The sequence below is a fragment of the Homo sapiens genome, chromosome 10, assembly GCF_000001405.40.
Source record: "Homo sapiens chromosome 10, GRCh38.p14 Primary Assembly".
Taxonomy (NCBI): Eukaryota; Metazoa; Chordata; class Mammalia; order Primates; family Hominidae; genus Homo; species Homo sapiens.
The window spans coordinates 89,246,027-89,273,110 of NC_000010.11; the positions used below are offsets into that span (position 1 = coordinate 89,246,027).

Below are 27,084 nucleotides of genomic sequence, written 5' to 3' on the forward strand. Positions count from 1 at the left end.
CTAGCATGTTTTATACCAAATTTGCCTAACTTTACCACATCTTGGGCCTCTTTGTTTCCATCCTGCCTACCGGGCACAAATAAATGCTCATTTCTTTCTTTTCTAAATATCCCAGCTAGAACTGTCAATGTATAAAACACTTTCTTTGTTTTGAGAGATCCCCTGCTGGCCAATAAAGTATAAAAAATATTAACTTGTTTTTATCAATGGACTAAAATAATTACATAGAATGTCAAGGTGGGATGGAAGAAAAGTTGAACAAAATAGGGAATTATGGTCACATTCACTTTTCTATAAGGAAGGATTCATGGGACAATTGTTAATCAGGAGCTCAGTGGGATATGGATAATTCAATTATCCAGGGGATTTAATGTAAATAAGTGCACATACCCTCTCTACCATAAGTACTTGAAAGAATTTAATTTTATCATTCTTATTTAAAAAATTATTTTAAAAGTTGGAAAAATTGGGAGGCAAAAGAAAAGCTTTGAGCTAAGAAGTAAAACTTAACTTTAAGACCCTGTTATCAGGTCATACTCTCCTGGCTCACTGTGAATTTCTCTGCGAGTCCCTAAGCTTGCCTGATTCTTCAGCTGGGTCACTGCAACATCTATTTTAAAGTTGCTGTTTTCTTTAATAATTTGTACTTTACTGATATTTTGTGCCTAAATGAGGTATTTCCAGATTTTATTGTTTACTTACGATTAATAACTTTCAGATGTTTTAATTAGTCGAGTGGTTATTTTTGCATATTTTTTCTAACAAAATTTAGCTCAGATACTTTGACTTCTGTATAGAAATATGTTCCCTGGACATTCTTAATCACAACCTTTGTTCAATGTATTCTAAAACCAGCTCTCAATAGCGGTAATGTTCTTGCAAAGTTTAAATACTTTTTTATAGTTTAAACAAACTTAGTGAGACTTAAAAATGAAATGAATTAATAAAAAATCATAATTTATCTTATTAAGAAGTATATATAACATTAAACTGAGGTTTGTTGGCTACATATTACCTGGTGAGAAAAGCCTAGCAAATTGAATCTAAGATTCAGAGAAATTGGGCTGGGCACGGTGGCTCACGCCTGTAATCCCAGGACTTTGGGAGGCTGAGGTGGACAGATCACCTGAGCTCAGGAGTTCAAGACCACCCTGGGCAACATGGTGAAACCCTGTATCTACTAAATACAAAAAAAATTAGCCAGGCATGGTGGTGCATGCCTGTAGTCCCAGCTACTTGGGAGGCTGAGGCTCGAGAATCACTTGAGCCCCTGAGGCGGAGGTCGCAATGAGCCGAGATCACACCACTGCACTCCAGCCTGGGCGGGCAGGTGACAGAGTAAGACTCTGCCTCAAAAAAAAAAAAAAAAAAAAAAAAAAAAAAAATTCAGAGAAATTGAAAAGCAAAGGAGTTATAAAGAGATGAATGTATGGGTATGGCTTCATGTAGCTCACATAACTGGATCGGGGAAATAGATGCATTTTAAAAGTACATAACTTTGAGAAACTTACCACATTCATGTTTGTTTCAGGATCCACAGCTGTCAGTTTCCCTCCAGACCCCTCAGAATGCAGGGTCCAGAGAACCAAACAGACCACCAACCCCAAGAACCGCATTTTCATTCTGTATAATAAAACAGTCTATTATTATTTGCTTGAATTTTACTACACAAAAATATTCTGGTAACTTAATGCTCCCACAAAAAGTTCTGAACCAGATTTAGGGCAAGTAAAAGGTGAAAGGAAAATATGAAACAAATGACTCCAGCCATATCTGAAAGGAGAATAAGGAATTTTTAAATTTTATTTATTTATTTTTATTTTATTTATTTATTTATTTATTTATTTATTTATTTATGTTGAGATGGAGTCTTGCTCTGTCACCCAGGCTGGAGTGCAGTGGTGCAATCTCAGCTCACTGCAACCTCTGCCTCCTGGTTCAAGCAATTCTTCTGCCTCAGCCTCCCAAGTAGCTGGGACAACAGGCACGCACCACCACGCCTGGCTAATTTTTGTATTTTTGTAGCGATGGGCTTTCACCATATTGGCTAGGCTGGTCTCGAACTCCTGGCTTCGTGATTCGCCCACCTCGGCCTCTCAAAGTGCTGGGATTACAGGCGTGAGCCACCGCGCCTGCCCAGGAATTTTTTTTTTTTTTCGGAGTCTCGCTCTGTTGCCCAGGCTGGAGTGCAGTGGCACAATCTCGGCTCACCACAACCTCCGCCTCCCAGGTTCAAGCGGTTCTCCTGCCTCAGCCTCCAGAGTAGCTGGGACTACAGGTGCAGGCCACCATGCCCGGCTAATTTTTGTATTTTTAGTAGAGACAGGGTTTCACTATATTGGCAAGGCTGGTCTCAGATGACTTCGTGACCTGCCCGCCTCCGCCTCCCAAAGGAATTATTATTATTATTATTTTATATTTATTTATTTATTTATTTATTTATTTATTTATTTATTTATTTATTTTGAGGCTGAGTCTCGCTCTGTCGCCCAGGCTGGAGTGCAGTGGCGCAATCTTGGCTCACTGCAAGCTCCGCCTCCCAGGTTCAGGCCATTCTCCTGCCTCAGACTCCCAGGTAGCTGGGACTACAGGCGCCCGCCACCACGCCCGGCAAATTTTTTTGTATTTTTTTTTTTTTAGTAGAGACGGGGTTTCACTGTGTTAGCCAGGATGGTCTCGATCTCCTAACCTCGTGATCACGCCTCGGCCTCCCAAAGTGCTGGGATGACAGGCGTGAGCCACCGCGCCCGGCCCAAAGGAATTACTTTTAACTAAGAAACCTCCCACCCACCACCTCCAGTTGATATATGACCTTTGGAGTCCAGCATACCCATTCACCTCCTAACCCCAAAGTTAAAAACAAATTGGTCATGGAGAAATAACAAAAGGCAAGACTTAGAAGAGGATAGTTTGAGAAAAAGAAAGAGACACAAAATTTCTGAGCTTGCTTATTTCCCACCTCTTGCCTTCCACCTATGATTTAGACATGTTTAAGTTCAGCCACTATTAGCTCTTCCTCCTACTTATCTAACCACTATTAGCTCTTCCTCCTACTTATCTAACCACTTCTGTTCTTGCCCCAAATTATACGTCAGCATTTAAATTTGTCATTCATGGGAAAAAAGTGAAATGAAAGAAAATAGAGCTTTCAAAAGAAACAGAAAGGAAAAATTTGACCCGTCTCTCTCCTTCTGAAATTCTCTAACCATCAAATCAACAAAGACCATCTTGGTTTCTGGCAGTGATGACTCAAAATCACAGCAAAGACCTTGAGGATGCTGAAGGCAAAGTTAAATGCCTCTCCTAAGATCACGCAAGTGGTCAGAGAAAAACCTAGGACTAGATCCCAGAACTTCTACATTTTTAAAAAATAAATAGAATCACTTAAAAAGATGCAGGCATGTATGCCCATACAAAGACTTGTACATAAATGTTTATAACAGCTTTGGGTGTAATAGACAAAAACTGGAAAAACCCAAATGCTTTAAATGGATGATTGGATAAATTATGGTATATACCTACTACTCAGCTATAAAAGGGAAGGAACACAAAAAAATATAGATTAATCTCAAAATAATTATGCCAAAAGAAGCCAGATCAAAATAAGGAAAAAAAAAAGTACTGTCTGATCCCATTCATATAAAACTCCACAAAATGCAGTCTAATCTATATTCACAGAAAGCAGATCAGTGGTTTCCTGGAGAGAAGGGGCAGTAAGAAAGGATCACAAAGGGGTATGCACAAATAATATTTTGGAGGTGATGTACAGGTTCATAATATTGAATGTACTGATGGTTTCACAGGTGTGTACACATGCAAAAACTTATACAATTGTACAATTGAAATATGCCATGCTATTGTATGTCAATAATACTCCAATACAGCTGTTTGTTTTTAGTTTTGTGTTTAAACTGAATATTCCACAAGTCTTAAGAAATTGATTCTCAGGAGATTGCAAAAGTGAACTGACTCCCTTCTGTTGATGGAATTCCTCCTGGGATTATTTTTTTCCAAGAAGTAGTGAACTCTGAAATTCTTTTCTTTTTTCTTTTTTCTTTTTCTTTTTCTTTTCTTTTCTTTCTTTTTTTTTTTTGAGACAGTCTTGCTCTGTCCCCCAGGCTGGAGTACAGTGGCGAGATCTTGGCTCACTGCAAGCTCCACCTCCTGGGTTCAGGCCATTCTCCCGCCTCAGCCTCCCAAGTAGCTGGGACTACAGGCGCCCACCACCACGCCTGGCTAATTTTGTTTTTGTATTTTTAGTAGAAACAGGGTTTCACCGTGTTAGCCAGGATGGTCTCGATCTCCTGACCTCGTGATCCGCCGGCCTCGGCCTCCAAAAGTGCTAGGATTACAGGCGTGAGCCACCGCGCCCGACCGTGAACTCTGAACAGGAGCAAACGTTATCCCCTTCAGTGTGCATTGGCAAAGCAAGGCCACTGCTTCTACTTACAACTTTGTACTTCTTCATGATAGGAAGGATTGTACAGCCCCAGGCTATTTTTTATCATAAATGCAACCTCCCAAAAGTCCATTATTACTAGAGAATAAGGAGTAAATTGAAAGGGAAAAAATTAAAGGAATTACCACAATTGAAAACAGAATAGCATCTGCAGGAGCTGCTTTCATTCAGCGGTTTTCCTACAGAACCTGTATCAACCGCCCAGAGGAAGGTCCATGAGAGTAACAGCTAAAGCTACTCAGCTGAAAATCTCACCCAGTTAAGTTTTCCTTCCAACACAACACTACATACTTAGTATGTTTTTCTCAACATACTAAGCCAAGCAATTCTTACTAAGAAGGAGATACTCTGAAAATCTCGAAGGAGGGGGGAAAAAAAACCTTCCAGGCTGAATTAAGTGTGCTTTTCTGGGCTGTATTAACACCTTTATCTCAGTTATTTAGACTTTGTAACAATCTGACTCAGCTTTGTACCCCCAGGACCAAGCAAAGTGCCACGTATATATTAGATGCATAGTACAGATTCTGAAAAAAGATAAGAGCAGTCCAACAGTTCAGTGGCAGAAGAAAAGGCCCCAACGCAGCATGCTATTTAACTTTCTAATAACAACAATTATTACGACTCCCATTTAAGCTCTTGCGAGGCGCCAGCCACCGCAGGCAGCGCTTCTGATCTACTGTCAATTACTCCTCCACCGACCCTATGGCAGTACCATTAATTCCATTTTTCAGGAATCTGAGGTTCACCCAGCTGAAGTACTGGAAGCAAAGTGTCAGCTGTTTAAAAAGCAGTATCGCTGGGACTTTAACCAGGATTGATGCCCAAGTCTGCTTTCGACCACGCCGTTGGCTAACAAGAGAGGTAGGATGGGATGCCTGGAGGAGCTAAGGGGAGAGCACGAGGATGCAGAGAGAGGAATCAGACATCCCTGCTGTCCTCGCGGTCCAGGAGCACTGGGCAGCTTCACTGACCGGAGACCGCGCCTGTCCAGGAAAGTGGACAGCGCCCAGGGAAGAGAGTGGGCTTCTCTCTGAAGTTGCTCTCTGAAGTTGCCCTGGTTGATTGGCAGATGCCTTGAGCCAACGCCCGCAGAAAAAGCACCCGCAGGCACCCCAGGCAAGACTCGCTGGGTCCAAACGCAGAGGGTCTTGCCGGCCGGCAGAGCCTCGGGGCGCGACCCTCCCCTTGCTGAAGGCACCAGCTTCCACGCCGCACCCGCACCTGGCAGCGCCGCGGCGCCGGCACTCTCACCTGGAGCTGTCCTGCCGGGCCGCTGTCTCGAGTCGCAGTGCCAGCTCTCAGGGGCCGGGGTGCGGATAGGGGACCTGCAGGGGGCCTGGTCTGCCTTGTCGGGAGGGCGGATGCCCACCACCCTCGGACTATTTGTTCAGCCAATCAGAGCAGCCAGCCACCGGGAAGTGCCTCGGAGACTCCGCCCCAGACCAGCGCTGCCGCTTGCCAGCCCCCCAGTTGACCCCATAGAGCATGCGCCGTAGGCGTTTCTAAGAGATGGAGCCCGTCCTCCGCCTCGCAGGCTGGCAGGTCCACAGCTCTACCAGCGCGTCGCCTACGCATGCTCTCTTAGCAAAGGCTGTTTTAGGCGGCCTTCTGCTCCGCCCCCGAAGCTCCTGCAGGGCTGGCACCTTCTGCGCCTGACAGAGAGCATGTGGGCTCTATAAATGAAAGTGAATCATGGGCTCCATTTAAAGCGCTTATCATTGTGCCTGATGCAAAGCAATCTTGCTGCTTTAAATTTTTTATTATTATTAAAGATTTGTTAAAAGAGGAAACAATATTCAATATGTACATATTATTTATTAATCATTTTCTAAAACAAAGATTTTATTGAGCACCTACTAAATGCCAGGCATTAGTAAGACAGTGGAGGTATAGAAACCAACCAAACAAGGTTCCTGTTCTCTTGTATATATTCTGATGGGAAGAGACACATCATGAATAACTATATAATACATGAGGTGGTGATAAGTGCTATAAATAACAACAAAAACAAACAAACAACAACAACAACAAACAACAAGGGGCTGGGCACAGTGGCTCACGCCTGTAATCCCAGCAGTTTGGGAAGCTGAGGAGGGCGGATCACCTGAGGACAGGAGTTCAGGACCAGCCTGGCCAACTTGGTGAAACCCCATCTCTACTAAAAATACAAAATTAGCGGGTGTGGTGGTGTGTGCCTCTAATCCCAGCTCCTTGGGAGGCTGAGGCAGGAAAATGGCTTGAACCAGGTAGGTGGAGGTTGCAGTGAGCGGAGATCATGCCACTGCACTCCAGCATGGACAACAGAGTGAGACTCCATCCCCCAAAAAAAAAAAAAAACAGGGATAAGGAGGATGATATGTATATGGTAATCAGGAAAGGACTCTTATGAAGTGACACCTGAGCACAGGCAAGGAGGTAGTTAACAGCCTTAGATACTGGAGAAAGCACATTCTGGGTGAAAATAGCAGGTACAAAGGCCCTGTGGTAGGAATATTCCTGGTGGGTCCTAGCCAGAGTGGTGAGGTCTTTGAGGCTAAAACAGAATGTACATAGTAGAAAGTAATAGAACATGAAGTCCTAGAAGTCTGGTGCCTTGGGAGCCACTTGTCAAGATCTTACCGTGTCTTCTGAGTAAGATGAGAAGCCAGTGTAATATTTTCAATAGAAGGGCAGCATAATCTAGTTTAGAAAGATCATTCTGAACTACAGAAGCAGGGAGACTAATTAGAAGGTGTATTAGTCTGTTCTCATGCTGCTAATAAAGACATACCCAAGACTGGGTAATTTATGAAGGAAAAAGGTTTAACTGACTCACAGTTTCACAGGACTGGGGAGGCCTCACAATCATGGCAGAAGGCAAAAGGCTTGTCTTACATGGCGGCACATGTGAGAGAAAGAACCAAGTAAAAGGATTTTCCTCTTATAAAACCATCAGACCTTGTGAGACTTATTTACCACCACAAGAACAGTATGGGCTAGACTGCCCCCATGATTCAGTTATCTCCCACCGGGTCCCTCCCACAACATGTGGGAATTACAGGAGCTATAATTCAAGATGAGATTTGGGTGGGGACACAGCCAAACCATATCATTCTGCCCTTGGCCACTCCCAAATCTCATGTCCTCACATTTCAAAACCAATCATGCCTTCCCAGTAGTCCCCCAAAGTCTTAACTCATTTCAGCATTAACTCAAAAGTCCATAGTCCAAAGTCTCACCTGAGACAAGGCAAGTCCCTTCCACCTATTAGCTGGTAAAATCAAAAGCAAGTTAGTTGCTTCTTAGATACAATGGGGGTACAGGCATTGGATAAATACACCTGTTTCAAATGGGAGAAACTGGCCAAAATGAAGGAGCTAAAAGCCGCATGCAAGTCCAGATCCATCAAGGCAGTCATTTCTTAAAGCTCCAAAATGATCTCCTTTGACTCCATGTCTCACATCCAGGTCACACTGATGCAGGAGGTGGGTTCCCATGGTCTTGGGCAGCTCTGCCCCTGTGGCTTTGCAGGGGGACCCTTCCTCCTGGCTCCTTTCACAGGCTGGTGTTGAGTGTCTGTAGCTTTCCCAGGTGCACAGTGCAAGCTATCGGTGGATCTACCATTCTGGGGTCTGGAGGACAGTGGCTCTCTTCTCACAGCTGCACTAGGCAGTGCCCCATTGGGGACTCTGTGTGAGGCCTCCAATCCCACATTTCCCTTCTGCACTGACCTAGCCCAGGCTCTCCTTGAGGGCCCCACCCCTGCAGCAAACTTCTGCCTGGACATTCAGGCTTTTCCACACATCCTCTGAAATACAGGTGGAGGTTCCCAAACCTCAATTCTTGACTTCTGTGCACCCACAGGCTCAACACCACATGGAAACTGCCAAGGCTTAGGGACTGTACCCTGTGAAGCCATGGCCTGAGCTGTACTTTAACCCCTTTTTGCCATGGCTAGAGTGACTGGGACACAGGCTGGGACACAAGTCCCTAGGCTGCACACAGCAGGGAGGACCTGAGCCAGCCCACAAAAGTATTTTTTCCTCCTAGGCCTCTGGGCCTGTGATGGGAGGGGCTGCCTCAAAGGTCTCTGACATGCCCTGTCAGACATTTTCCCCATTGTCTTGGTAATTAACATTTGGCTCCTCATTACTTATGCAAATTTCTGCAGCCAGCTTGAATTTCTGCTCAGAAAATGGGTTTTTCTTTTCTATCGTATTGTCAGACTGCAAATTTTCTGAACTTTTATGTTTTGTTTCCCTTTTAAAACTGAATTCTTTTAACAGCACCCAAGTCACCATTTCAATGTTTTACTGCTTAGAAATTTCTTCCCCCAGATACCCTAAAGCATCTCCCTCAAGTTCAAAGTTTCACAAATCTCTAGGGCAGGGACAAAATGCCCCCAGTATCTTTGCTAAAACATAGCAAGAGTCACCTTTACTACAGTTCACAACAAGTTTCTCATCTCCATCTGAGACCACCTCAGCCTGGATTTCATTGTCCATATCATTATCAGCATTTTGGTCAAAGCCATTCAACAGTTCTCTAAGAAGTTCCAAACTTTCCCACGTCTTCCTGACTTCTTCTGAGCCCTCCAAACTGTTCCAACCTCTGCCTGTTACCCAGTTCCAAAGCCACTTCCACATTTTTGGGTATCTTTACAATAGCACCCCATTCTACTGGTACCAATTTACTGTGTCAGTTCTTATGCTGCTAATAAAGACATACCCAAAACTAGGTAATTTGTAAAGGAAAGAGGTTTAATTGACTCACAGTTCCACGTGGCTAGGGAGGCCTCACAATCATGGCAGAAGGCAAAAGGCACGTCTTACATGGCAGCAGACATGAGAGGATATGAGAACCAAGTGAAAGGGGTTTCCCCTTATAAACCCATCAGATCTCATGAGACCTAGTCACTACCACAAGAAAGGTATGGGGAAAACTGCCCCCCATGATTTAATTATCTCCCACTGGGTCCCTCCCACAACATGTGGGCATTATGGGAACTACAATTCAAGATAATGATTTGGGTGGGGACACAGCCAAACCATATCAGAAGGCTACCACAATAGTCCAAGTGAGAGTTAATAATGACTTGGACCAGGATGGTGATAGCAGTGAAAGTGGAGAAAAATAGGCAGCTCTAGGTATGTTTATAAAGTTGAACCAATAGGACTTGCTGGTGGATTGAATACAGGTATGAGAGGGACAGTAGCATCAAGGATGGCACTAATGGAGTTGCCATGAATTTGAATGGACAAACTACCAGGAAGAACAACTTGAGAGGGAAATTAGGAGTTTGTTCTAGATGTGTTGGTTTTGAGATGCCTTTTAGAGACCTGTGTCAACTCAGGCCATGTCAGGAAATAGAAGCCACTCTAGGCATTGCAAACAGAGGACATGGTTACACAGGTAATGACATTGCTGAGAAGACAAACAGGGTTTGGGTGGCACCACAGAAATTATTAGCAACAGTGGAAAGAGCTGGGGCATTATTGGATGAAGGAAGTGTCATACCATAGACCAGAAGTTGAGCAACAGTCTCTGTCAGAGACACTACTCATGGCCAAGAAAGAGAGGAGCTAGAAATAGCTGGACCTCCCCTTCTTTCTTCCTTCTTCCTTCAGTCTTCCACAAGTCCCTTCTGAGGATCCTAGGCAGGCTAAAGGTGGCTGACACAAGAGCCTGCAGAGGTCAGACCACTCCACCCTCCACAAGACAGAGCAGAGCAGAGGTAGGACAGGGAAAGGATTTGGAACAAAAAGGAGAAGATTGGAAAAACATCCACATGGAGATGTTGAGTAGGGACTAGGATATATAGATGTATTCAAGCTCCAGGCTAGAGATATGATTTGTGACTAATCAGATTAGAAACAGTATTTAAAGACATGAGGCTGGAGGAGATCCCCTATAAAGTAAGCATAAGTAGCAAAGAACACACGTAGAGATTCAGAAGATATAAAAGCTGAGAAGACAATGAGGTTGGAGGAGAAATGAGTGTGTTGTACTTGACATGAACTGAAGAAAGAAATTTCATGAAAGAGGAAATGATCAGCCCAGGCAAGTGCCAATGACAGCTTAAGTGAAGTGAGTACTGAGAAACGAGCAACAGATTGAGCAGCATTTCTGTGTGTCAGACATTGGGCAATATAGTTACCCTTTCTAAGCCTCAGCGTCTTCACTTGTAAAATGGGTGTATGAAGGTAGTCTTGAGGATTAAGTGAGACACTGTATGTAGAGGGCTTAGCACAATTTCACAAAAGTAAAAAGTGATGTAGCCCAAAATGCAACCCAGGCAAACTAAATCCAGGTTGTCATCCGTGAGTGAATGAATGAAAATATAACCACGAGGTTCCTTCACTCAGGTAGGGGAAGATTTCTCCTACTTCCTGCTTTGGGCCATTGTGAGCCACAGTGACTGGTGGATGACCTATACCTTTTCCAAGTTAAACTTAATAAAGAGAGAAAAGGAGACTCTACATAAGAAAATGATATTTATTCAGGTTTGCAATGTGAATAAGTGTGCCATATTATACTATGTGCATATTTAAAGAAGTTAAGACAAGGGGAAGTTTTTAAAGGCAAAATGAGAAAGAATAAATAAGTTGTTTTGAATCAATTGTCCTTGGCTACGAGGATCAATAACAAGGGTGGCATTGGTCCAAGGACTGACAGTTGCTGAATAGACATCCTTGCAGAAGTATTTTCTGTGCAAGACTGCATTTTTGGCAGTCTTTTGTGATAGTTCTGAATTTCAGGCATATGTGTGAGAATACTCCCTTTATGGCCTTCCATGGGTCCATTTGCCAGGACTTTAATATAAAGGACTTCATTTTGATTTTGACAACTTTCACAACTATAAAAAGAAAGTTTTATAGAAAACAGGAGGTAGTAGTGGTGTGTGTGTGTGTGTGCATATATGAACATGTGTGTTTGGGATGGTCACTTTATATCATAAGCCAGACTGGTGAAATAAAGACAGAAACAATACTAATAGCAGTTCTGCTTCCAGCAAAGATAGAGTAACAATGACCTGGTTTACTCTCCTACTTTAAACAGCTAAGTTGGAAAAAGTATGAAACGATAATTTCAGACATTGGACAACAAATAGTGCAAAAGAAAGAGCAATCCTTGAGAAAAGAAAAACAAATGAAATGATCCCTGCAATGCCTCAGATAATTGCCTGGACAGATTTTCCAGGCTGTAGTTTAGGGAGGCCAAATCCAAGCAAAATCCAGCAGTTTATCTAAATAGAGGAGAAAAATGAGAATTAAAAAAGCATTCTCATCTGGCAGTAGGAATTCTCTTAAGGCAGCAGAGTTGCAGGGCAGAATGCTGGAGCAGAGAGAGCTGAAGAGAGAGAGAGGCTGTGGCGAGCTGCAGATGGGTTCCTTCAAGTCTTTAACTAACAGTTTGCATGTGAAGAAACTATGCTAGACCATAGTTTAGTGGAAAGAACCACCTGCAAACGGTAAGATCCCCAAGGCTCACACAAAACTTGGAATGGTTTAAGTTACAACCAGCCAGAGTGGGAAAACATTGTAACACAGAAGGCACTCAATAAAAGATTCATAAGACTATTGTCTCAGTATTGGAGCAAGATCAGCCCTAAGTTAAGGCTGCCTTTTAAAAATAAGAATACTGAATAAGAATAAGAATACTGAATACTGGGAAGTAGACCCCCAATTGATTTTTACCAAGGTTCCATGACAATTCAATGGGGAAAGAATAATCTTTTTAACAATGGTGCTAGAACACTTGAATAGCTATATGCAAAACAATGAACCTAGACCCTTAAGTCATAGAAAAATTAACTCAAAATGGACCATACACATACATTTGAAAGTTAAAAATATAGGAGTTCCTGGAAAAAAATTGGAGAAAATCTTAAGAAATTTGAGTTTTGTCAAAGATTGTTTAAATACAACACAAAAAGCACAACCTATAAAAGAAAAAATATCAACAAATTGGACCCCTTCAAAGTAAAATAACTTTTTTTTCTAAAAAAAAGACGTTTTATAACCATGATGAGATACCACTTCATACCCACTAGGATAGCTATAATAAAAAATACAGGTAATAACAAGTGTTGATGAGGATGTGGAGAAATGTGAACCCTTGCACACTGCTGCTGGAAATGTGAAATGGTGTGGCCACTTTGGAAAACAGTCTGTCTGGAAGTTCCTCAAAAAGGTAAACATAGAGTTATCATATGACCCATCAACTGCACTTTCAAGTATATACCCAGTAGAAATAAGAACTGATGTTTACATAAAAACTTGTACATGAATGTTCATAAGAGCATCACTCAATATAGCCAAAAAGTGGAAACAACCATATGTTCATCAACTGATGAAGACATGAATAAATAAAATTTGATATGTTCATACAATGGAATATTCTTCTATAATTTAAAAATGAAGCACTGATACTAACTACAACATGGATGAATCTTGAAAACATTATGCCAAATTTAAAAAGCCACTCAAAAAAGACCCTTCCACTTGCATGAAATGTCCAGAATAGGCAAATCTCTGCAGACAGCAAGTAGATTAGTAGTTGCCTAGGGATGATGGTGGGTTGATGGCTAAAGGATGGGGAAGAAGAGGAAGTTAGGATGATGAAAATGTTCTAAAATTAATTGCAATGATAGTTGCACAGCTCTGCAAATATACTGAATGCCATTGTTCCCTTTAAATGGTGAATTGAATGGTATGCAGATTGTATCTCAGTAAGTTTTTTTAACTTTATAAAATGATTTGGTCTGCTCCTTAAAAACTAAAAACCCGATCAAAAATGAGCAAAATATTTGGACAGACATTTCACTAAAGAAGATATATGGATGATGAATAAACATGTGAAAAGATGTTCAACACCATTAATCATTAGGAAAATGCAAATGAAAACCACAATGAGATAACACTATTCTACCCACCAGGATGGCTAAAATTAAAAAGTGTTGGCAAGGATGTGAAGCAGCTGGGAAACTCTTTCATCGCTGATGGGAATGTAAACTGGTACAATCACTTTAGATAAAAGATTATAAGTATATCTACCATATGGCCCAGCTATTCTACTCTTAAGTATTTACTCAAGAGAAATGAAAGTGTTTGTCCACAAATGATCATAGCAGTTTTATTTGTAATAGCCATAAACTGGAAACAACACAAATGCCCATCAACAGGTAAATGGATAAACAAATTGTGGTGTATCTATACAATGGAATATTACTCTGCAATAAAAGAATAATGATCTTCTGATGCACACAGCAACATGAATGACTCTTAAAATAATTATTCTGAGAGAAAGAGGACAAACAAAAACAGTACATGTCTCATTTCATTTTCATAAAAATATAGAAATTGTAAATTAGTCTACAGTCACAGAAAATTAGTGGTTTCCTGGAGAGGGGACATTTTTCTTTGGGGAGGAGAGGAGGCTGGATGACAGAGAGGCATGGGGAAACTTGGAGGGAATAAATATATTTGTTATCTTCACTGTAGTGATGGTTTCACAGGTATATACACATGTGAAAACTCATCAAAATGTACAATTTAAATATGTGCAGTTTAATCTTCATCTGTCATACTTCGATAAGCCTATTTAAAAAAATACTAATAGTTACTATTTATTGAACCCTTGCTATATGACAGATATAATCCTAATACTTAACATTCATTATCGTGTTGAATCAGTAACCACCCAACAGAGGTGTTTTCCGTTTCTTCAGATGATGATATAGAGACTCAAGCCATGAAGATGATATTTAAACTCAAGTAGCCTAATGCCAAAGATCCAGCTCTTCTTCACTAACGAGAATTTAACCCATTTTCATTCAGCAGTTCTTTGTGTGATAGGCCACTCTCCTAAGGGTTGCAGATTCCGAGCTGAACAAGGATACCTGGCTCCTGCCCTCAGTGCATAGTGGAGGAAGCGAGAAGCTGGGGAACCTGAGGCTCAAAACAGGAAGGCCCAACTCACCTGGCTTATGGATGAGAGGTTGGGTAGCTGTGGAGAAGATTGGCTAAGCTGATTAGAACAGAATGTTGTCTCACCCTTCATTGCCAGCAGGGGGCAGCAGTTCCCCAGGAAGACCGTGTCTGGGCCTATGCACGCTTGGGCCTCCTACTTGGAGGTGCCGACACATTCTGGTACATGGGGCCTCAGAGTCTCACAGGCCTTTGGCTGTGTTTTCCCCACCTCCACACACATTACAGTGCTTAACAGTTCAAGGCCCTCCATCTCCGTGTGCTCAGTAAAGGGAAGGAGGCTTTACAGAGCACATACAGGGCAGACTGCTCTGCCTCCCAAAGGGAGGCAATTTAAACATGTCCCATTCTGTTTTGTATCGGTTGGAAGCGCTGATAAAAGGTTTACTAGCATGCACTTGAAGATGGAGTTCAGATATCCAGGACGCTCCAGGCTTTGACCCGCGATGGTGAGCAAGGGTTCCTCTTCCTTTTCCTATGCTGGGCTTCTCAGTCAGTTTCATCACAAAAGGTGAAAGGTAGCTAGTAGTGACACATTCCAGCACCAGAAGAATTTCTAGAAATTATTGTCTAAGGGTCTTTAATTTCCAGCCCATAGTTGCCTTTGATTCCTATTAACGACATGTATGGACACCTACTAAAGAACTAGCCTGGAGCTGAGGACACAGAAATGACTAAGTCCAAGCTTTCAGTGCCCTCCTACATAAATGTGAGTAATTGGATGTGATGCCTAGTCCAGAAGTCATAGCCAGAGGCCCTCAGATATGCATCCTTTGCCAAAATAGCTGGACCCTCTGGGTGTTCTAGAAATTTGAATTAGTAGTCAACAGTTAAAAATCAGAAGAGCTCAAGACCAGACTGGCCAACATGGCAAAACTCCATGTCTACTAAAAATGCAAAAATTAGCTGGGTTTGATGGCGGACGCCTGTAATCCCAGCTACTTGGGAGGCTGAGGCAGGAGAATCGCTTGAACCCGGGAGGAGGAGGTTGCAGTGAGCCCAGATCGTGCCATTGCACTCCAGCCGGGGTGACAGAGCGAGACTCTGTCTCAAAAAAATAAATTAATTAATTAAAATTAAAATTTAAAAAATCAGAAGAGCTCACATAAAAATATATAATCCTGGCTTCTCTTGAAAAACAGAGAGAATGCTGGCTCTTGATTACAAGATGAAATAAATGTCTTAGAAATGTGGGAAAACTCATTGGCATAGGTCAAGTCCAGCCCCCTCTCAGTGCAGAGGAGAATAGAACTCTAGTCTCATTCTGTACCTTCTGTGGTTTATTCTTATTCTTCCTTGTTCAGACCTGTGCATCTAACACTAGTTTATATTGAATGGGCTGAACTTGCTCAGATTCATTAAGAAATTCTGTCTCTCTATTGCTGCCCTGCAATGTGCTATTCCTGAGCTCCCCTCCCTATCCCTGAACAGCCCGGTTGATTTTTTTGCCGTAACCAATCCAATTCCAATCTCGCTTTTCAATTAAAAGTTTCTCTCCCTCTTTTACTTCAGGCCTGCTTAAGATGAAGTCCAGCCATGGGAAGGGGTATGTGATCTGTTTTTTTCCCTTTTCCCAGGTCTTTCCTTACTCACCTACCCAATGCTTACTGCTGGCTTCTTCAAGCTAGAATCAGGGAAAGATGAGATAATAGAAAACAAGATTTTTATTGTTACCTGACTAGTGCTGAGGACTTGTAAACTCCTGGTATTCCCTATGGGAAAGCATACGATTGCTAGCTCTCTCATTTAGCACACACAAATGGACTGAACGTTCCAAAAAAAAAAATCAGCATATACCATCTGACAGTGGCAAGCTACTATGCAGGCAATGAGGCATGAATTAAACAGCATTGAGTATCTAGTAAGGCTTCCCTCAGTGGCTTCAAGTCATCCCTGGAGTCTGCTCACAAGCTGTTCTCTTTGCCTCTGCATTCTCCATTCAGCACTTGTTGGAGTCTCTCTTTTCTTTGTCTCTCTGTACCTACAGCCTAAGGCTCCTAAATGACAGCACAATGAGCAAAGGGTCATGGAAACTCAGTATCTTTCTTCCTGTCTGAATCACAGCTTTGCTAAGCAAACCTTGACATTTTTATATCTTCATTCTGCAGATATCATCAGAGTATCCCAGCCTTTTTACAACCTTGCTATGCAAAGAATGGTCCCTGGCCCAGCACCTTGAGATCATCTGGGAGTATGTAAGAAATGCCAAAATTCCGGCCTCACCTCCAAACTACTAAATCAGAGTGCAAATTTATCAGATCGCAGGGTGACTCACATGAGGAATGTTTGAGAAGCACTCTTTACAAGATTCTAATTCTATATATTAAACGTATTTTTCATATTTGTAGTAAATTTCATCAAAACAATTCCAAACTCTTTCCTCACATTTCCTCAGAAATCTCAGTGGACTCTTGTCTAGGATTCCTCTCAGTTGACAATCACTTTTTGTGAAGGGAACAGTAAAAACTGCCAAGCCCAATTACATGTGCAGTTGTTGGAGTTACTTTAAAACATACTAACATGTTGCTGTTGGCAGCTGAGGCAGAATAAAAGGGAGAGGCAACTAGAGATTCCATCAAGTCTTCATGAATTCCTTACCTCTTTCTTCCTAGAACTTCTCTTCACATACAAAATAGATATAGGGTATCAGGGCCAGTTTGGCTTTGACTTTCACTTCTCTTCCTCCTAATTGCCCTTCACCGCCTCCAAGACTCCCTCAGTGAACTTTCTTAAATGAACTGCAAGCCTATTGGGCCATGAATAGATCCTGAATTTCTGCTGGATGACAACAGGTTTGGTTTTGCTGCAGGGATGGTGACCTTATTCTGACTTTAGAAAGATTATAAAAACAAGAGAAGGTTGTGTTAGTGGTATTGGACTTTACTTACTAAGTGCTCCATTTTGTGGGAAATTACCAGAGACCTTTTGGTGGATTGCTACCAAAAACTACAAATGTCACTTTTAATATGCTTGCATCTTTGGTTGGTTTTATGTTCAGGAAAACAACTTCATCTCTGTGATCCTTTCTATTTGCCATGGTAAAAACTCTCCTGTCCTCTAACCCTACCAAACATATCATGCAAAAGCAATACAAAACCTACACAGAAAGTTATGATTAATCAAAAGTTGCTTGAGAAGCATAGATTTAGTTCAAAGAAGTACTGATAGCATATGGAACTGTCATAAGATCCTTAGGGTGTCACTTTTCCAGCCAGAAGCCTGTGTGGCTGTTGGCACCTTTGCCTGAGCTTTACTCAGGCCTGCTGGGCTTGTTTTGCCCACTTGGCCTGGCAGGCTGTGCTTGGCTCATGCTAACCAACCAGATCCCACGCCTCCAAGGTCAAGCCAGGTGTAGAGTGGTGAGAGGTGCATAAGCAAGTGAGTGTGGGGTCCAGCCACTGTGGAGAGTCAGCAAGCCAGCTGCTCTGGTGGGGTGGGCAGCTGCAGGCACCAGTACAGATGCCAGTTCTGTGCAAGCCTACTGCTGGATCAGATGCACCACAAGCAGCTTCTCCTATGGACACCCAAGTCTGGATAAGGGGAGTGTGCTGGCATCCAGAAACTTGGAGAAGCCAGAAACCACAGTGCCCCAAAGAGGGTGGCACAGCCCTGGCTTGGGGAGCCTCTAGGTTTGGGCTCCTGGAAGGGCCTCTGCTCTTCTCTGCTGCCCTTCTCTCCTTCTCATTGCTGGCAACATGGCAAGCAGGGGGGGTGGTAGGGGCATGTTTCAGCCCTATTTGTGTTACAGCTCTTTCAGTCCCACCATTCAGGGGGTCCTGAGTTCTTGTCCCACATCCAGGAAGAATGAAATATGCAGACGACTGGAGGGTGAGCAAGGTGAAGAAGTCCTTTATTGAGCAACAGTACAGCTCTCAGGAGACCCAAAGTGGGTAGCTCCTTTCCACAGGCAGGTTGTCCCAACAAGTGATCAGCCCTCAGAGGAGAGGAGACCCCCAGTGGGTAGCTCCTATCTTCAAGCAGATTGTCCCAATGAGTGTGCAGCTCAGTGGAGAGCAGACCTGGAGTGGGTAGCTCCTATCCACAAGCAGGTAATCCCAAGTGTGCAGCCCTCAGCAGGGAGGAAACCTGGAGTGGGTAGCTTCTATTCACAGGCAGGTTGTCCTGACAAGTGTGCAGCCCTCAGCAGAGAGGACACCCAGAGTGGGTAGCTCCTATCCGTAGGCAGGTCATCCTGACATCTGTCCCAGTCTGGCTGAGTCCTGGGTTTTTATGGGCTCATAAGGGAGGAAGTGTATGCTGATTGGTCCATGGGCGGCCATGGGTGGGCCCAGAAAAAGCACCATAAGTTCTCACTCTGGGCTGTGGACACCACCTGGAACTGATAGGTTGGCCCCCAGGCTTCAGGCCCTCCCTGGCTTCAAGGTGGTGCTTCACTGGGACTGCCCCTTTCTGCCCAGGGGCCTATCTGCTTCCTGCTGCCATCTGCGTGTCATCCACGGCCCCTGGGCTGTTTGTGCTGAGGGGAACCCACAGGCCCATGCTAAGCAACCCTCAGCACCATCCTCTTCAGCCTCCCTCCCATGCTCATTGGCCCCCAAAGTCTGGAGGAGGCCCAGGCAGCAGGGGGCTGGCATGTTGGTGCCACCCTGAGCACATCCACACCTAACCAGGTCACAGCAGCACCTAGGCTTGGCCACAACTTTGTTCTGGAGTGGGTGCCAGGAGCAGGGAGAGGCCAGGCAGTAGGAGCAGGCACTTCTGAGCTTGCAGGGGTGAGGGGAAAGGAGTGGGGTGCAGGGGGTTGGGGAGTGGGGGCCATGGGGTCCTGGGCCCCCAAACTGCAGGGATGCCTAGGTCTGCAGCTACAGCTGGGCAGCTGTAGCTGTGCCTGGGAGGGTGGGGCTCCTGACCTGCCAACTCGGAAGGGGACAGGGCTCCCACCATCTCCATGGAGTACACAGTCCTGGTCACACCTCCCCTGGTGCAGCTGGCGTCTTCGCAGAGGCCACTCCAGATGGGCCGCTGCTGCCATCAGAATCAGTAAACATATCCTTTTGTGGAAAATCATTTTTGAACAGTGTATAAGTAGCTTTCAGCTACATAAACCAAGTGATACAGAAAAGATGCTTTTGTTCTTTGGGACTTGAATTGGAATTATTTTACTTTCCTTTTACATTTTTAAAATGTTGTTCATAGGGTCAATTAATATCTAGTGAGTATTGATAATATGCAGTCTAGTTTCTAACACTGGGAAAGATTGGAAACTCATAAAAGATGTTGTCCATGGTGCTTGACTATAGACAAACATTTTCCATTGGCTCCTCCTAAATTGCAAGTTCTCCAATCTTTGCTGTGTTCAGACTTGTAAAATAGCTCACTAGTTAATGAGAGAGACCTCAACATGAGAGAACTAAAAACCAAAGAAGATGCTATGTTATTATTACAGGTGGAGCATCCATTATCCAAAAATCCAAAATCCAAAATGCTCCGGGATTCAAAGCATTTTTGGGCCAACATGAAAAATTCCATTCTGACCTCATGTGACAAGTTGCAATCAAAATGCATGTGTACAACACACAGTTTATTCAGCGTCCCTAAGAAAGAACCTCCCAGCCCCCTTCAGCTGTGATGTATGTTTTCTACATATGATATATGTTTTCTATCCTCAGATTCTCACATAAAAAATACCTTGTACAGTAACTTTTTAATCAAAACACAGCATCGTAGGTGGAGACTGAAAGCCTGCTGTTGTTTGTTGTTGCTGTCATTTAACAGCTGACGCAGATATTCCAGTGATGCTACGGTGCTGTTTAGTTACACTAAACACATTCTTTCTTACTGTATTAATGATATGTCTTTTTTTATGTAAAATTCTTATGTGTGAATTAATGTAAGAAAATGACTGTGTATTGGTAGCATATAAATTCAGTCAAGAATGATGGTGATGCCAAACAACCACAGACTATCCACATGTGTGGCTGAGATAGTGACACCTTTACTTTCTGATGATGGTTCAGTGTACACAAACATTATTTTATGCACAAAATGATCTAAAATATTATATAAAATTACCTTCGGGCTATGTGTATAAGGTGTATATGAAACACATATGAATTTCATGTTTAGACTTGGATCCCGTGCCTGAAATATTATGTATATGCAAATATTCCAAAATCTGAAACACTTCTAGTCCCAAGCATTTTGGATAAGGGATACTCAATCTGTACTTTGTGTTATCTTGAGTGGAAAATAAGGGGGCTTTATAAAAAAATGTTTTACTCATGTCTGACTATTTTCCATTTCCCAGTTTCTAATTAAAGAGGGTCTACCAAGTAACCTCATAAATCTGTTCCAGAGCAAGAATGGTCTACAAAGTGTTCTGTGACTTAATGTCTGTGTTTGCCAGAAGCTCTGTATATTGCCCTGAGAACTGCAGAGAGAATTGCTTTTGTGTAATTATTCTGAGATAGCAGCATCTGTAAAACTGCAGAGTGCATCAAGATTACCATGCAACATGCTTTACAAATATTCCTGAAGTGTATCTAGTCTATCCAGGACAGAGAAATAAGGACTGGGGAATAAGGTGTGGGTGGCTATGAATGTCAAATAAAATATCTTTGTTTATAACCATCAAGTTTACTCCCACACATTCTCTATTTTTATATTATCTTCAACCCTCCTGTTCACGTGATGTGTTTCCAAAATACTCAGTGTCAGCTTTATGAACACAGGAATCACAACTTGTATGTCAGGATCCTAACAAGGGCATTCAAAATGGAATGATTCAAAGACAGCTGATTTGCAAACAGACTATTTAACAGTTGTTGGGCAGGGGAAGCATAAGATAGTGCAGTAGCCCCAGGTAGTAGCAGTTCAGCTGTTAACCACCCTTAGGCTCAGAGAGATGAGATTGTTACTGGAAAATGGAAGGAGAAAGTCTCACAGAAGCTTCCCTGAAAGGAAAATTATTCCTTAGTAGACTGACACAGCCTGCTCCAGGCAGTCCCAGCAGGGAGAGAACCAAAGAAATTGGAAACCATCATTCTCAGTAAACTATCGCAAGAACAAAAAACCAAACACCGCATATTCTCACTCATAGGTGGGAATTGAACAATGAGATCACATGGTCACAGGAAGGGGAATATCACACTCTGGGGACTGTGGTGGGGTGGGGGGAGGGGGGAGGGGTAGCATTGGGAGATATACCTAATGCTAGATGACGAGTTAGTGGGTGCAGCGCACCAGCATGGCACATGTATACATATGTAACTAACCTGCACAATGTGCACATGTACCCTAAAACTTAAAGTATAATAAAAAAAAAAAAAGAAACTTAAAAAAAAAAAAAAGAAAGAAATAATTACTCTACCATCACTTTCTCCATCCTTTCAATCTCCTGCAGGTGCCGCCTGTCAACAAAACCCAACCAGTAGCCGGAGGACACTGGAACCGGCAAGTATAGTCTCTGCTGTAAACCTCCCACTTTATAGGGCAGGGTGGAGAATAATGGAAAGTGGAACTCAGGGGAGTTAAGGAATGGGGAATAAGCTGTGGGTGGCTATGAGTATGAAACTTAAAATATCTTTGTTTATGAACATCAAGTTTACTCCCACAAATTATCTATTTTAAAATTATCTTCAACCCTCCTGTTCATGTAATGTGTGCCCCAATACTCAATACTACATGGGAGATATCCTTCATATGATCTTTATCCACTCTCCTTTGGAAGAGGAAAATAGGAGGTCCAGGATTGTAGTTAGGAGTGCAGACTCAGGGGTCAGGCTGCCCACATTCAAGGCAAAATCTACAATTTGCTGGCTGTGCAAACTAGTGTAAGATTTTTAACTTCTTCTTGAGTTAGAGTTCTCTTCTGTAAAATAGAATTAATATTGTCTAGGGACATCTCAAATTTTGGATAAGATAATATGTGTTAAGTGCTTAGAATAGTGCCTTGCACTCAATAGATGTTAGTTGATTGTGTTTTTTAAATATTTTTCCTGACAGTAATTTTTTTTATAAATCCAATTTATTTGCTGATTATTAATGGATTCTAGTTACTATGTAGGTTCAATATAGTTACCATTTTGGTATGTACTTTCAAACTTGTTTTCCTCTGATACATAATTTCACAAAAATAGGCTCAAGCTATATATATTATTTAGTTATCTACTTTTATTCCCACTCAATAGTAGAAATCTAAATATGTCATTCAGTATTTTTTGAAATCATTTTTAATGGTTGCATGTATTATTTTGTCATCTGGAGTTACAATGATTTACTTTAAATCATTTGAATGATGTACTTTATTTAAAAATGCTTCCCAGCACTTTGGGATGCTGAGGCGGGTGGATCACGAGGCCAGGAGATTGAGACCATCCTGACTAACACAGTGAAACCCTGTCTCTACTAAAAATACAAAAAGTTAGCTGGGCGCGGTGACGGGCGCCTGTAGTCCCAGCTACTCGGGAGGCTGAGGCAGGAGAATGGTGTGAACCTGGGAGGCGGAGCTTGCAGTGAGCCAAGATAGCACCACTGCACTCCAGTCTGGGCGACAGAGACAGACTCTGTCTCAAAAAAAAAAAAGTATAAAAATACTTTAAATGATTTACTTTATTTAAAAATACTTAGGGCCAGGCACGGTGGTTCACACCTCTAATCCCAGCACTTTGGGAGGCTGAGGCAGGTGGACCACCTGAGGTCAAAAGATCGAGACCATCATGGCCAACACAGTGAAACCCCGTCTCTACTAAAAAATACAAAAAAAAATTAGCTGGGCGTGGTGGCGCATGCCTGTAGTCCCAGCTACTCGGGAGGCTGAGGCAGGAGAATCACTTGAACCCGGGAGGCAGAGGTTGCAGTGAGCCAAGATCTCACCACTGCACTCCAGCCTGGTGACAGAGTCAAAAAAATAATAATAATACTTTAAGAAGTTTAGTTTATTTCTATTTTTTAAGCCAGGATACGCTCTATATCCATGGTAATTTCACTAGGATCATGTCCTAGAAACAAAACTTTTAGGTCTAATGTAGGTATATCTTTAAGGATTTTTTTTTTGCTCTAATTAATATTTTATTCTTCTCTTCAACATTGTGCAAAGGCTTCAACATATTCGACAAATAAAACTTTGATGACATAATCATTAATTTTCTCTGAAGTCAACCATATAATACTTTAAGATGACATGAAAGTTTGTACATGAGAGACTGGAGTTTCTGAAGCTTATATGTTCCTCTTTTGGGGAAATTTAAAGCGATGCGTTGGCAATACAGCAATGCAATTGTAGCTTCAAAAATATTAATTTCCTTACCAAAGGTTAATGTCCTATAACTGACTCTCCATACTTTGCTGTATTAAAAATTTGGGGGAGGATGAGGTTTTTTTAAACTTTATTCTTTACTAAAATGTGAGACTAATTTTTAGTAATGAATCTGCAGGTACAGATTTGTAGGTAGCAACCTGATGAGTTTACAGAGCCACTAAGGTCTTCAGTTGTGGGTATGTGGGCCTAGACTTTGGAGACACACAGCTTTGTATTCTGGTCAGACATAAGTTGTGTGACCTTTACTCCAATTTCTTCCTCTTTGAAGGATTGCTCAATTATGTCTGTGCAAAGTGCAGATGGACCTTGGTGAATAGCTGTGGATTATTAAAACTTAACCAGGTGGTCACTCCAAATTAGCTACTATTCTAAATGTCTTTTCCTTGGAGAAAGTTGACACATTCCCTAGCATGTGGTGTGCCACAATATATTTGACAAATGTTATATTGTCTATTTGTGTTGGTAAAGATCAGCTGAAGCAGTTTGCTTCCACCAGTCAGGGCCAGAAATCCACCTTCATTGTCCCATTTTAGGGATATGTAATTCTCCAGAACTGCAAAGATTTTTACCTGCCAAAACTTATCACTTCTCCATTTCACAATACATCATGTGGTCCAATGTGATACTGACAGTATTTGCTGATTTAGACCAAGTAAGCAGGAAATAGCAAGCATTCTAGACACCTTGGCAAGACACAAGTGGGTGGGAAATAAACCCCTTATAAATTCAGAGGACTGCCACCTTATTGCAATTTCCAGAAGTCCATTTTCTGGAGCATGTTGATATATCCTTTCCAATATGAAGGATACATTTCTGTATCTGTTTTCTTCTACCACTGAAAAAGAGGCACTGATCCTAGTGGACCTCTTTGGAGGTCAACATATACCTCATTTGGGCCTGCTCCTCTAGCCCACTTCCTGAATAACCATAAAGGCTGCCAGCTTTGAGTAGGGCCCAGAACAAGAGAATGCAACAGCTCTAAGCTAAAGGCAAGCTGCTCTGCTACTCATGTTATACGACCCAACAGATCTGATGGTGCTCGAAGTGTCTGTGACAGATAGGGAGGCTCTATGGCACCTTTAGCAGGTAAATCACAGAAGATACCCTTAGGATCTTGGAGCACAGCTATGTCATCCCCTGCAGATAACTATTCTTTTGATGAACAGTGGCTGGCTTACTTTGGGGCTCTAGTAGAGACTGAATGTTTAACGATGGCCCAAGACCTGAGCTATGAATTGGATGTTATCTGACCCATCAAACCTTAAAGTTGAGTGTGCACAGCAGTATTCCATCACATGGAAGTGGTAAATGAAATTAGACTTATGTAGGTCCTGAAGGCACAAGTCACATGAGCAAGATTCCTGTGACCCCTACTCATACTACATTGCCCCTTCTCTCTCATCTGTCTTCTCATGGGGAGTTCCATGTGACCAGTTGACTGAGGAAGAGACTATTTGGTCTACTTTATAGATGGTTCTGCACAATACACTGGCATCACCCAAAAATGGCCAATGCAGTACTCCTGTCACATTTAGGGATGATTCTGAAGGACAGTGGTTATGGGACATTCCCCCAGTGGAAAGAGCTTTGAACGGTTCACCTGGATGTTCATTGTTCCTAGAAGGAGAGATGACCAGAGTGATGGATTTACATTGATTTGTAGCTTCATTAACCTGGAAAGTAAAACTGTCCCCAGCCACTTTGTACTCCTTATGCTAATTAACCAGCAGGCTTAAAAAAGGTGATTATTGTTCTGATGGGTGATTTATCCTGGCTATGAAGGGAAAATGGGGTTGCTACCACACAGTGAGGGTAAGGAGGAGTATGGTGGCTTGCAGGAGGTCTTCTGGGGTGCCTCTTTGTATTTCCATATCCTGAAATCAATATTAAAATGAAAACAATTCAATGCAGTGAGGACTGCTAATGGCAGTGACCCTTTAAGAATGAAGGTATGGGACAGCTCACCAGATAAGGAGTCATGACAAGAACCAGTGTTTGCCAAGGGCAAGTGTAATATGGAACAGGTGGTAAAAGAAGGAAGTCATAGGCTGGGCTCAGTGGCTTACGCTTGTAATCCCAACAGTTTGGGAGGCCAAAGCCGGCAGATCATTTGAGCCTCAGGGGTTTGAGACCAGCCTGGACAACATATCAAAACCCCAACTCTACAAAAAAAAAAACCCACAAAAACTAACCAGATACATTGTCACGCACCTGTAGTCTCAGCTACTCAGGAGGCTGCAGTGGGAGGATCACTTGTGCCTGGTAGGCTGAGGCTGCAGTGAGCCAAGATTGCACCACTGCACTCCAGCCTGGGCACACAGAGTGAGACTCTGTCTTAAAAAAAAAAAATTTAAAAAAAACTTTTGTTTTAAGCTCAGGGGCACATATGCACAATGTTCAGGTTTGTTACATAGGTAAATGTGTGTTATGGGGGTTGATTGTACAGATTCTTTCACCATCCAGGTATTAAGCGTAGTACCCATTAGTTATTTTTCCTGATCCTCTCCCTCCTCCCACCCCCTGCCCTCCAGTAAGCTCCAATGTGCATTGTTCCCCTCTATGTGTCCATGTGTTCTCATCATTTAGCTCCCTCTTATAAGTGAGAACATGCGGTATTTGGTTTTCTGTTCCTGTGTTAGTTTGCTAAGGATAATGGCCTCCAGCTCCATCCTTGTCCCTGCAAAAGACATGATCACATTCCTTTTTATTGCTGCGTAGTATTCCATAGTGTATGTGTACAACATTTTCTTTATCTAATCTATCATAGGGGCATTTAGGTTGATTCCATGTCTTTTCTATTGTGAATAGTGCTGCAATGAACATATACGTGCATGTGTCTTTATAATAGAATGATTTATACTCCTCTGGGTACATACCCGGTAATGGGATTGTTGGGTTGAATGGTATTTCTGCCTTTAGGTCTTTGGGGAATCACCACACTGTCTTCCACAATGGCTGAACTAATTTACACTCCCACCAACAGTGTAAAAGTGTTCCTTTCTCTCTACAACCTCGCCAGCATCTATTATTTTTGGACGTTTTATTAACAGCCATTGTGACTGGCGTGAGATGATATTTCATTGTGGTTTTAATTTGCATTTCTCTAATGAACAGTAATGTTGAGCTTTTTTCACTTGATTGTTGTCTGCATGTATGTCTTCTTTTGAGAAGTGTTTGTTCATGTCCTTTGCCCACTTTTTAATGGAGTTGTTTTTTTCTTATAAATGTGTTCCTTACAGATGCTGGATATTAGACCTTTGTCAGCTGCATAGATTGCAAAAAGTTTCTCCCATTCTGTAGGTTGTCTGGTCACTCTGAAGATAGGTAAAAGAAAGAAGTTATAAACACTAGCTACAACCTTGTGCCCTGTCTTAGAA

At 42.4% G+C, this 27,084-nt stretch overlaps 1 protein-coding gene across 25 annotated transcripts in view, besides 2 other annotated features; it reads right to left on the minus strand.

The window, feature by feature from the left end:
* The window catches only part of LIPA (lipase A, lysosomal acid type), a 201,108-nt gene that overhangs the window by 32,455 nt on the left and 141,569 nt on the right, over positions 1 to 27,084 (minus strand). For 16 of the 25 annotated variants that reach the window (NM_001440819.1, NM_001440821.1, NM_001440824.1 and 13 more), the window contains one exon: positions 1,512 to 1,623. The exons of 1 other annotated variant lie outside the window; for it this stretch is intronic. In NM_001440819.1, coding sequence (NP_001427748.1) covers positions 1,512 to 1,622 — 111 coding nt within the window. In that variant the 5' untranslated portion in view covers position 1,623. Of the gene's footprint in view, positions 1 to 1,511; positions 1,624 to 4,584; positions 5,750 to 9,211; positions 9,295 to 27,084 lie in introns of those variants that run through there. 8 more of the 25 variants (NM_000235.4, NM_001440837.1, NM_001440833.1 and 5 more) reach the window with 7 other exon arrangements.
* Positions 3,018 to 3,107: an enhancer, noted in NCBI's record as "active region_3737". NCBI's record gives its function as "activates an Ori minimal core promoter by ATAC-STARR-seq in GM12878 lymphoblastoid cells {active_cell/tissue: GM12878}" and the evidence as "EXISTENCE:reporter gene assay evidence [ECO:0000049][PMID:35858748]".
* Positions 5,776 to 5,835: an enhancer, noted in NCBI's record as "active region_3738". NCBI's record gives its function as "activates an Ori minimal core promoter by ATAC-STARR-seq in GM12878 lymphoblastoid cells {active_cell/tissue: GM12878}" and the evidence as "EXISTENCE:reporter gene assay evidence [ECO:0000049][PMID:35858748]".